Source organism: Homo sapiens, chromosome 14 (genome assembly GCF_000001405.40).
Source record: "Homo sapiens chromosome 14, GRCh38.p14 Primary Assembly".
NCBI lineage: Eukaryota > Metazoa > Chordata > Mammalia > Primates > Hominidae > Homo > Homo sapiens.
In genome coordinates, this window is record NC_000014.9 from 40759118 (window position 1) to 40771373 (window position 12256).

Consider the following 12256-nt stretch of genomic DNA (forward strand, 5'->3'; position numbering starts at 1 on the left):
AGGAACAGGCCATTTTCACTTCTTTCATGATTCTTCAGTTACTTCAGGCCATCTGGATGTATACTTGCTGGTCACAGGGGATATGATGGCTTAGCTTGGGCTCAGAGGCCTGACAATAACATAGATTGGTAACCTACTAAGTTAGTACAACAGGATCAGCATTTTCATTAATAAATGTAGTCACTTACGTTATCTGAAAGTGAAAGACATTTAGTTATTTTTGTAGTTACATTGGATTTTATGCCCTAGCCTCAGAGGAAAGAAGGCTTTTACTTCTTTTGATAGGATTGAAAAGGTTCTGGAATTAGTTAGGGTTTTGTGTCTATACCCCAGCAAGGGGGCTGCGCTTTAGCAAGGGGGCTGCACATTTATGTCTTCTGCCCGTCCTTTCTTTGAGTACCAGGTAAAGACTTACAAATAATTCATAAATGAGGACGTCAGTTATATCTGAGACTCCCAGTGATTCCAAACTGTTACTCAAGATCAAATTAGTTGTTTAAAAGTTTATTACAATTTTACTTGCTTTTTCATACCCATTTTTCTTGCAATCACCTCTTTCTCTGATGCTTTTCTAAAGGTGAAAGAGTGTCTCTTAAGAAAGGCGTTTTTACACCTTTAGAATTTGGTTCAACTAGTTGCCTTGAAACCTCAACTCTCTCATGAGCTCAAAAAAAACTTATCATTTTGGAGATTAGATAGCTTTTTTCTCATTGTGGGAGTTCATTCTCTTTGACTTTCTACATCCTAAGCCTCTAATCTACAAAGTATTATTTTCAGAATATAAAAAGTGTTTTAACATTCAGTATGTTTATTATCTCTATCACAATCCAATGAATTAGTTCTAATTTTCTCTTTTAAAAATGAGAAGTTTGAGTCTCAGGAATGTTAAGCAATTTGCATTAGGTCAAGCCATTAATATTTGTTATAGCTGGAATGCAAATCTTGTTGAAATGTTAATGTAAATTGCACCATACAGTGCTGGCCCTAAATGATCTTTCCAAGCCCTGCTTCCTCCTTTCTTAAGTACCAGGCTAATCTTTTGCCCACATAAATTTCATTCTCTCAGGTCTTTTACATATTGTTCTTTCTGCCATAGAATGGTCTCTAAATTAAAAAGTTTAATATGTACTAAACATGTGTTATATTGTAATTGTGCATTCTTTTACTTAAACAATTTGCCCCAAACTTGATAAGCAGTAGTCTTCACAAAACCTTTATCCATCTTTACCAGGAGGTGTTAATTGAAAATTTAATCTGTTAAATTGGTAATACTCATGTAGTTCCTGTTATATAACCATAGCAGGATTATATTCAATAGCATAAGTATACATGAAATAAGGAGCTAGTTAAGAGGAGCAATGATAACAGATATTTTTGGTATTCATTTTAGAAGAAAATATATTTTTATTTTAACGTGTACTGTAATTTACACTCACAGAATGGAATCACTGAAGGACAAAATCACTTTGACATCAAAATATGTCTTGAATATTGTTTTAACTATGTTAGGATTATGTTTTAAATGATGGATGTTTTAATACTTTTAGTCTAATTTACTCAATGGAGCAGTCACAGCCTAGTTTAAAAAATATCAAGTGTGGCACTATAGATGTTATGAGAATATTTTGTAAAAGAGGAATTGAAGTAAAGTGATCCATCTTGGATCTCTCTTTCAGCTAGGTGATGCTATTATAGTCCTGTCTCTTTATAATAGTGATGCTTTCTATAAATGAGAAATAGCATCACAGAGAAGTAAGAGGTTCTTCAGGATCCCTACCAATGACTGCCTCATTGTATGTGTTTAATGATGCCTGCAGGAAAGCTTACTTACTCTGACAGGATATTTCCATCAGCATCCTTGAGTTGAGAAGAATAAAAGCAAAATGAAGATTATGCTGGCTTTACATTTGGGTGAAGACCATCTCCTTAGGTACTTGCTTTTTATGTGATATTTTAAAATATAAGTTTTCATGTTATAATTTTCAGTAGGTAGTATATACACATACAAAGGTGGTAAAAAAAATTCCTTTGAAACCACAAATTAAATATAACCTCTCAGTAAACAATTGTTTTATTTTAAATCCACATTTTTATGATACTTATAGGTTGTCATATCAATAGCATTAAGTCATCAGATACTGAAAATACCTAAAATGTCCTCCAAGAATAGTAAAAACTTTGTTCTATTTCTCTTTGTGAATTTATTGACTTAAAGTTTTTGGACAAAAATGTTTTTATTTTATTTCATTTTATTTATTTTATTTTATTTTTTTGAGATGGAATCTCGCTGTGTCCCCCATGCTGGAGTGCAGTGGCATGATCTTGGCTCACTGCAAGCTCCGCCTCCCGGGTTCACGCCATTCTCCTGCCTCAGCCTCCTGAATAGCTGGGATTACAGGTGCCCGCTACCACGCCCAGCTAATTTTTTGTATTTTTAGTACAGACGGGTTTCATCGTGTTAGCCAGGATGGTCTCCATCTCCTGACCTTGTGATCCGCCCATCTCAGCCTCCCAAAGTGCTAGGATTACAGGCATGAGCCACCACGCCCGGCCCAAAAAATGTTCTTAAATAGGGAACTTAGCTATAAATACAGCATCAACATCATTTTTATTATCAAGAATATCAGCTGAGTTCTGAACATATTATCTTTACTCTTATAATGATAATAACAATCTATACATGATGATTCAGAACAGAATTAGACACTCTCAAAAATGTATTGTTTATTAACAAATTCAACCTTATAAAAATATCAGTTATTTTTATAATCTTAGAAATTCTCAATATGTGCCTTATATGGCACAAGGCATACAGCAAAGCTGTATTGTAATTCTACGCAGACATTTGGAAAAGTACATTATTGAGTTTGACATGGAAGCCACTAACAGTAGCTTCATTTTTGTAATGTTGGGAATTAAACGTGGTACAAAGATGAAGATTTTTGCCATATCCTATGTACTTACTTCATTGTTACATGTAAGTCTGGAGCACAGTGATTTCCACTATATCCTTCAAGCAGATTCTCTACTTTTTAACGTTGTAGAATATTTGCTCTTTATCTCTCTCTTTCTCTCTTTATTTTTTTTGTCCTCTTCTTTTACCTTTTTTGAACTTTTTGAGAAAAAGGCGCAGACATAATGCTTCACTATTTCTAATGTTTCAGCATGTATATCATAAGATTAAGGAAACTATCCTGCAGAACAACCATCTCTGTTATGAAATTAGTATTGACTCTTTCCACAAGTACAAAACTACTTAGATCAGGTCACGTGATTAAAAGACTTTCTCTAATCTAAAGTTACTAAATTGACCTTTTAAATAATAAATACTATAAATATTAAGATACACTTTTCTCAGTAATTTCCATTCACTCATACTAGCATCAGTTGATCATTTTTGCTAGAATGAGTTTTGGCTGAATTAATTATTTCTGTTTTAATTGACAATTGGTGAATATTTAATTGTAGCATTTCTTCTACATTTTTTAGTTTGCAGTCTATTTTAGGAAATGACTTTTCTTTCTTCCTCGTTCATATTGCTGTTGTCTCTTGGATTGCTATTTTATTCATTGGTGTCTTAATTTGTTGCTAACATGATTTATTTGAGAACATTTGGTAAAGAATATCTTCTTAATGGTTGTTGCAAATTTGAGCAATAGGAAGCCTATTTATCTGCTTACCTTTTCCTCTTAGCATGCTCCTATCCTTTGAGCACTTTATTACTTTCTGTCAAAACATGTTGTTCAGTCTCCCTTGTGCTTCCCTTCTCTGAGACCTGGAATGAGTCATTTCTCTATAAAATCCTGGTTTGTTTACGTGGGGAATAACATTTACACATGAATTCTGGATCCTAGATGTGCTAATTCAAAATGAGATGTCACTACATAGCACAATTTAGAGGATGGAACCAGAAAAAATATTTTTTGACAAAACATTGTAAGTTCATACTCACATGGCATATTAAGTCCAGCACCATATTATTTTCCTTACTTTTACTTACATTTCACATCTGCATCATCCTTCTCCTACAACGAAAACTCTATGTCCATAACACAATAGAGTTACTCATTTGTCCTTTGCTACAAAGCACACAAGAGGACTTTTAATTACTACACAAATGCCTTTTTAATAACACATCTATAAAGAACAGTTTAAAAATTCATCAATGTTCCCACTGAGAATGACTATAGTAGTTTTTATAATATTTAAATTGGTTGATGTTTAAAAATTCATAAAGTTGTACAATTAAGATTTGTATAGTTTACTATATACAAATTGCTTTGATAAAATATTTTAATAATTTTATTTTAATATTTTTTGAGAGATATTATGTTGACAACTTAATATTCAATTAAATCCATGTTTGTGTTTGTTCTTTCAAATTTTTGATCATACAAAATATCAACATATTTTCCTAGTCAAAATTATATAAAGGCTATATTTAAAGAAGTCACATTTCTGTCTTTATTCCATTTATGAATCATTTAACTGTTGTTGGGAAGCAATATAATTACTTTTTAATTATCATTCTGATTTATTTAAAATAAGCTTCCATGTATATGTGCATATTATTATTCTTTTCTCTCTTATTCACACATATGTAATATCAATATGCATCCTTCCTTTTTTCTTTCTTGTATGTATACGTGTGTACATGTTTATAGCTAAAAATATAAATATAATATGTATATAGCTTAGATACATTTATTTTGTAGTAATAAACCCTGTTTTATATGTTGCAAATATTTATCCATTTTATTGAATTTTGCCAATGTTATAATCTTCCTCTTCTTCTTCATCATAAGTTTAATGTAATTGAATTTTTTATTGTATTTTTACCTCAGAAGACTTTTCTTCATAGTTATAAATAAATTCTTCAGTATTTCCTTCTAGTTCTTGAATCAATCAGTCCTTCTTCCTCCTTTATTTGCTTCCTTCCTTTATATTTAGATTACATCTGCATTTTGAGTTTGGTTATATAGCTGCATGTGTGGAACAAATTCTCCAAAATTTACCTAGATCCTCCAACACCATTTAATAATATGTCTATTATTTGCACAATGACTTGATATGCCAATTTTACCAAACCCAAACATCCTCATACATTGATATCTGTTTCTGCACTTTTGATTCAGTTTCTTTAGTTTATGTATGCATGCACCATAAACAGTGTTTTAATTATAGAGAATTTGAAGTACGTTTTGATATCAGACAGAAATAACTCCTATTATTTCGTTTTTTCCACCAATTCCTGCAATGTTCATGTTTTGATAGAAATATAGAAATATATTTGTTTCCCTCAAGAATAAAACTTGTTACTGTTATTGTGAAATATATTCAATTCACTTAGGAAAAATTGACATCTTTACAGTGTTAATGCATTCCATCCAAGAACAAAGAATGACTTTTGATTTTTGTGTTTTATGAATGTTTTAACATTTTCTTTATTATAGATTTAAATATTTATAAACCTGATTGCAAAGTGTTTTGTCTTTGTTATTTTAAATGTTTTTTTGCTTATAATATTTAATGTTATATTTGTATGATGAACATGGAAATGGGTGAAAAGAAATCCAAAGCTGTATTGTTGAGTGAGTCACTGTCTGATATCAAGAGCAACTTGAGATTGATATTGTGATATTTTCTTCCAAGCAGTCTACAACAATTGTATTTCATGGTGGAGAAGGGAAAACACTTATCTACTATCTTCTGTTTTCTTGGTCAAAATTTCACCCCTCTATGAAAACCCATCTGGCTGCATTTAAATGTGATGAGTATCATTGTGTTAGTTGAGGTCAACATAGAAGTTCTGGGACTGTAGGCTAAAGGTAAGATACTATCTGGTTGTGCCTAGGTGAAGTTACTTAGAATCCATGTAGAACTGGTAACAGGAACGGGAGGTTACCAAAGCTGGAAAATACTGTCAAGGCCCTTGTGAAAAGTGAAGGGAAGATGACATGAAGAAAGAAATTTCTGATAGAGTTCACTTCCTTTATCACACAAACTCATTTTCAATTATATCTAGTTCCCATATTACAACAGAGTGCCTGTATATTAATGGAAACAAGATGCCTACTTCCTGTACAAGAGAAAGGTAAAAGTACAAGTAATTATTTTAAAAATGCTAGTTGGCCTCAACTTATTGAAAAACAAAACAAACAAAACAAAAACTAGAAACAGATTCGGTAGTTATAGTTTATGCCGTGGCAGCTGGTCCCAAGATTATACCTAACATTTGTCACCTTTCTCTTCCATTGTTCTTTCTAGTTTTACTCATCTTTGGTCAGCAGTTTGACTATTCTTGACTGCTTGTGTAGTAGTAGAACATGACAATTTGCAATTGCCTGTTTACCGTTATCATGGTGCATAGAAATACCAAGAGTCCTACCCATTAATCCCTAGGTTCAAGAAGAGTCCTTCCTGTCTGTTGGTCTACTAATACCTTTGTTAGGTGAGATAAAAAGCTCAATGGATCTAGTACACAGCCTCATCTTCAAGTTTAGTCAAATATTTATTAAGTGTTGGAAAGAATGTTTTACTTTGTAGAAATCATAAACACAAGCTGCTAGAATGTAAGGTTGTGGGCTTAAGAATTTCAAATCCAAGAAATGTGTCAGTGGGAATAATGATGGGCAGTCAGTACTATCTTTCCGTCCTGATTCCCGTACCTACATATTCTAGCACCATATGTAGAACCATTTGCAAGTGTTCAGCAAATATCCAACATCTTGTAATGTGAAAGCCCAACAATTCAGGTTGTTGTGCCTGAATTGGCATCTTATCTGGGCCTTTATTAGGCCATTCCATCATAATCAAGTGCATTTGAATTCAAGGTTCATGGTAATATGACATGATATCATGTCAATAACCTATTGTCCCAACTGTTCTTTGGTGTGAGTTAATATTGCATGGAATTGCACAGTGATAGAGGAATCATGTTGTAAGTAAAGAGGTGATGTTACAGGAGGCCTCTGTGTAAGGAAGGTAAACCCATATCCAGAGGAGATATCTGTTAATGATTAATCATTGTCCCTCAAAGGGCTGCAGTATAATCTCCATGCCACTAAATGGCTGACTAGCCTCCTCAAACAAGTAGCCACATGAAAGGCTCAGCATGCACTCTTCCACCAGCAGGTTGGGCACTTACAGCAGCAGTAGCTAAATAGTTTATTGATGATAAGTAGTCCATATTTTTAGTTCCACATATAGTCTCATCATTAGTTCATTTTGCCAGCACTGGAAAGCTGAAGAGAGTGGCCTCCTTACATCCAAAGGATGCAAGATGTCTCCCTCATTTTTAAGAACTTGTACTCATTTTTTGCAGTGTCTGTGATAAATTACCACAAACTTGGTGGTTTAAAACAAAAATTTATTTTCTCACTTTTTTGAAGGACAATTTAGGGAAGGATTCTTCCCTGACTCCTATAGCTTCTGATGGCTGTTGGCATTCCTTGGCTTCCTTGGTTTCTTGTCACATTGTTAGAATCTCTGTCTTAATCTTCAGGTTGCCTTTCTCTTCGATGTCTCTTCTCTGTGTTTCCTTCAAAAGTGAATCTGGGCCAATATAGATAATCTAGAATTATTTCATCTCAACATCCTTAATTTATTTTTCATCTACAAATACCTTTTTCCAAAATAAGGTAGCACTCACAGCCTTCATGAATTTGTCATGTACTTATCATTTTTGAGGCCACCATTCAACCCACTGTATCTGACAAGGGCAAAACATTTCTGGATGAAAACATTGATTTTACCCACATGTCATTCATCTTTTAACAAATCTGAATTAATTGCTTACCAATAATGTCTACTTAATTAATTGCTTACTAATAATGTACTAAAATGTTATTTCAGTTTTTTAAATCAATAACATCAAAGAAACATGTACCATATCATAGTCTCAATTATACATCTTCATTACTATATATTCTAAAATGATTATTATAAGATTTGCCATATTTTATTTATGGTATAAATGCAATGTGTTTTAAAGCTCTTATCAATGCTAAGCTGAAAACTATTGTATTTTATAGTTACAGAGACTTTCTTTTCCTTATTTAGAAATAGCATTATTTTACAAACAGAAATTAGTAAAACCAAACTTCAGTATAATTTACTATCCAATGATAGAAATCACTACAAGATTTACAGGGAAATAATTTTAGTGACAATATCACAAATATCTCATATCCTTAATATACATGTCCAAATAGAATTTACTTATAAAAAGTCTTTAAATTTCCATCATGTAGAGCTATGTCCTGGTTTTCAATCGTCATTATTATTAAATGTAATTACCTGCTTACATTACATTATAATTTGTTAACCTGCCTCAGACTAGAACACATTTTGTTCATCCATGAACAGATACTCATGTTTCCAACGTATTGAAAAAATTTGCATTTTAAAATGACTGCTTTTGAAATAGACCTGGAGGTGATATGGTTTGGCTGTGTCCTCACCCAAAATTTCATTTTGAATTGTAATCTCCGTAATCCCCACCTGTCCAGAGTGTCACCAGGTGGTGGTAATTGGATCATGGGGGTGGTTTCCCCCATGCTGTTCAGAACTTTCCCCCCATGCTTTTTTTATTATTATTATTTCTATACTAGGAGGATTTAATTATTGATTAAGAAATTTTAGTTGAAGTCATATGTGTTGTATTGTTATTTACCCCCTGTATTATTTCTTTCTCAGGCTGCTATGAAGAAATACCCAAGACTGGGTACTTTCTCAACTTTCAAATTGAGCTGTTCAGAATGTGTGAAACAATTTTAAGGTAAGGATAAGTTGTCTCATTTTACAGCCTTTGCTTTTGCTCCTAATTGTCACAGGTAAAAAAAGCAAAGAACATTATAATGGGAAGCAGAAAGAGGACAAATTTTGAGTTTCATAAGTTGTTTGCGTTTTTGTTTTTACGAGGTAGTACAGTAACTCACAAGAAGTATAAAGCAAAAGAAAATGCAAGGCAGACCTGAGTAAAGGCTGTGTGTTTCTGAAATAGAGAATGTTACATCCACTGAAAATACTTAGATTGCTTTTTAATTTTTCAGTGTTTATAAAAAAAGGCTCCATGGATGGAAATGTTGAGGAAGTTCATAATGTTTAAGTCTTATCCACTTACATAATAAGTGCACTGTTGTTATTAGGTGCATAGACTCTGGTTCAATAATCCTAGGTTCAAACTGTTCACTCCACAAAAGACTACAAGTTCTGTGACTGTGGGCAATTAATTAATTCTATAAAGACTCAGTTTTCTAATTTGTAAAAGTGAAATTTCTGTAAACATTAACTAAAGATATACCTGTAACTTGCATACATACCACAATACATAGTATATAGAAACTATTCAATAAATTGCTAATGCAGCTAAAGATAATCTTTCCAGGTCTTTGCTCAATTGCCACCTCTCAGTGAGAACATCCTGATCTCCTTATTTGTATTTATAAGAGCTGTCCCTTTCTAACTATTTTTCTGTTCCCTTTTACCTGACATCATTTATCTTCATCAGAGATACTATATTTTATTGCTCAATTGATTAATTAACTAATTTTCTATCTCCCTCTACTAAAATTTAATTTCCTTGAGAAAAGAGTTTTGTCCGTGTTGCTAATTACACCTTTCCCAATAACTAGATTCTAGACCTTTAAAACAATGCCTAGTTAGGAATGAATTAATCAGTATTATTAAACTGTTGTGAACTTTAGACTATAAGAAGAGTTTTAAAGCTCAAGAGAACACTTTTGTCACATATAAAACTTAAATCTTAGGGCTCATCTGAGTAAGTGGCTTATGCAATATCCAAACTCAGTTTAGTACTAGAACATAGCCTATTCCTGCAATTACCTGCAATATTTTGTTTACTTAATAATCATAATTTTTTATAGTTATTGCTTTTTGAGGATCTATTACATGACCATTACTGTCCTTAATGTCTTATATAGTGGGGATAATTTTAATTTCTTATAGTTATGTTAAAAGACAGGTATTACGTTCCTCATTTAAATAATTTTAGAGGTCCACTGTCTATGGAGTGCCTTTCTCCTTGCCTCCAACTTTTTTCCTACTACTATGTTGGGACAGTTCTTCAATTTTCTTGGCTATCGGCCTTGAATGTTTTAAAGAGCTATTGTGATTTATTTACAGAACCTGCTAGTATGTCTTCCTTCAAGTTCTCACAGCTTACAATAAACTAAAAATTGCCAAATGAGACATAGCTTTCTGATTTGCTAAAACATATTTTATCATTGAAACATTCTCCAAAATATACTCTAGTAAATGCAGAATTTGACTATTACTCTGTAGATGGTCATACATAAACATAAACATAAACATAAACATAAACATAATGACCACTTCGTTACCACAGTCCTTTGAGGACTTTGGAAATCTTTTCCCTTATTAAATAAGACTCTGCTTAATGTTAGACTGAGCATTTCTAAGTTGACCAGTGAAATTGTTCAAATTATGCCAAACATTCCCTTTTGGTTTTAACTACTCTTTAATGTTTTCTTCAACTTAATTTCCACTGATAAGCTATCTGAAGAAATGCTTTATTTAAAAAAGGAAATCCTCATTTTCTTAAAAAAAACCTATTATTTATTATGTACCAAAACTCTGATATTGCTTTACATAAACATTTTCTGAAAGGTAGTATCCTTCCATTTCTTCATGAGAGAACAAGATATTGCTCAGGATGTCAAAGTAATTTGGAAAATTCAAATGACTGACCATTCAGATCTTCTTACATGAAAAGTCAATGCTTTTTCATATCTGCTACAGTATTGCTTCACCACTGCAGACAATAGTAGAAATAAACATATACGGAGCGTTACTGCTATTACTTCACCTTACCTCCCATCCACCCCCCTTTACTGGATAGTTAAAAAAAAAGTTTGATGGATTATTTGTTCTATCTTTTGTGTCTACTGGCATTATAAGACTAGGAAATACTGTGTCTCTAGCACAACTCAAATCAATAAACTTTTACAAAGATTTATGGAAGTTACAAGGTATTAAACAGCATTCTTCTTTGTTAATATCTCTCCAATGATCATAAAAACCCACATACAATGTGATTGCTATGGAAGCATTGTCACAGAAAGCGTAGAGGGCCTCAAGGATGATTTAGAGACAGTTTTTCCTGACATTTATCCTACAATCCTAATTCTTCCTTGTGTATATTTGGTAGTTTATATTAAATTGTATTCAATACATTATATACAGAAAACTATAATGCATTATCTCAAATTAATACAGATAAACTCAGCATAAGACATGTTCCTCACAGACTAAATAAAAATACAATATGTAGTTATTCCCAATTTTTTTCTCACTTATATTGCTTATATCAAAGTATACCCATGTCAAGCATCCATAAATATGTCAAATGCCAAAACTAAGTAAATCTTAGACATTGGAAACAGAGAAAGTTTCAGCTTACCTCTACTTTTACTAGCATTGTAATATGTGAGTAAAGACAGATGATCAGCTGCATAATAATAATCCTGGTACATGGAAACCTGGGATATTACAGATTTAAAGGAATTCTGTAATATTTACTCAGTATAATTTATGCTGTATTTACTCAGAAATACAAGGATACAGGGCAATGAGGACTAAATGAAAATATCTGCTTAATTGGGGTGAACATATTTTAGTGAAATTGTATTTATATGGAGAGAGAGAGTGAGAGAGAGATTTTTGCAAGAGATTTACCTCTTTGTTTAGAGGGCATGAATAGGCAAATCTGAAATTCTTAGGCTGAAACCTCTCAGGTAGGAGTTGACACTGTAATAAACACATGAAATTTCTTTTTTTCTGGGAAACTTCAGTTTTGCTCATAAGGCTTTTCAACTGATTGCATCTAATCCAACCAAATTAATCTTCATTACATAAAGTCAACTGATAGCGGATGTTACTCTTATGAATAAAATGCTTTCACAGAAACATCTAGAATCATTCTTGATGGAATAACTGGATACTGTAATCTAGCTGAGCTGACACATAAAACAGATCACCATAGTTTTTCCTTGCCAAATTGGCACCCATGCATACCTAACCTCCAAAGAAAGATGATAGCAAAGTCATACTTCCACTGAACATGACCCCACTGTCCCACACATAACCAAACCATGCTCAACTTTTCCCTAAATATTAAAATTCCTTACGTGATATTCACTTTAATATTCTGCAACTTAAATAACATAATATATACTATTATTAATATATCTGTGTTAGATAATAAACAGGTAAG

General features: G+C 32.4%; 1 long non-coding RNA gene across 4 annotated transcripts in view; it reads left to right on the plus strand.

Annotated features, from left to right (window-relative positions):
- Positions 1–12256, plus strand: part of LOC105370467 (uncharacterized) — a 186853-nt gene that overhangs the window by 59893 nt on the left and 114704 nt on the right. For all 4 annotated transcript variants that reach the window (XR_007064132.1, XR_007064130.1, XR_007064131.1 and 1 more), the window contains exon 3: positions 8698–8779. This is a non-coding gene — a long non-coding RNA (uncharacterized LOC105370467). The remainder of the gene's footprint in view (positions 1–8697; positions 8780–12256) is intronic.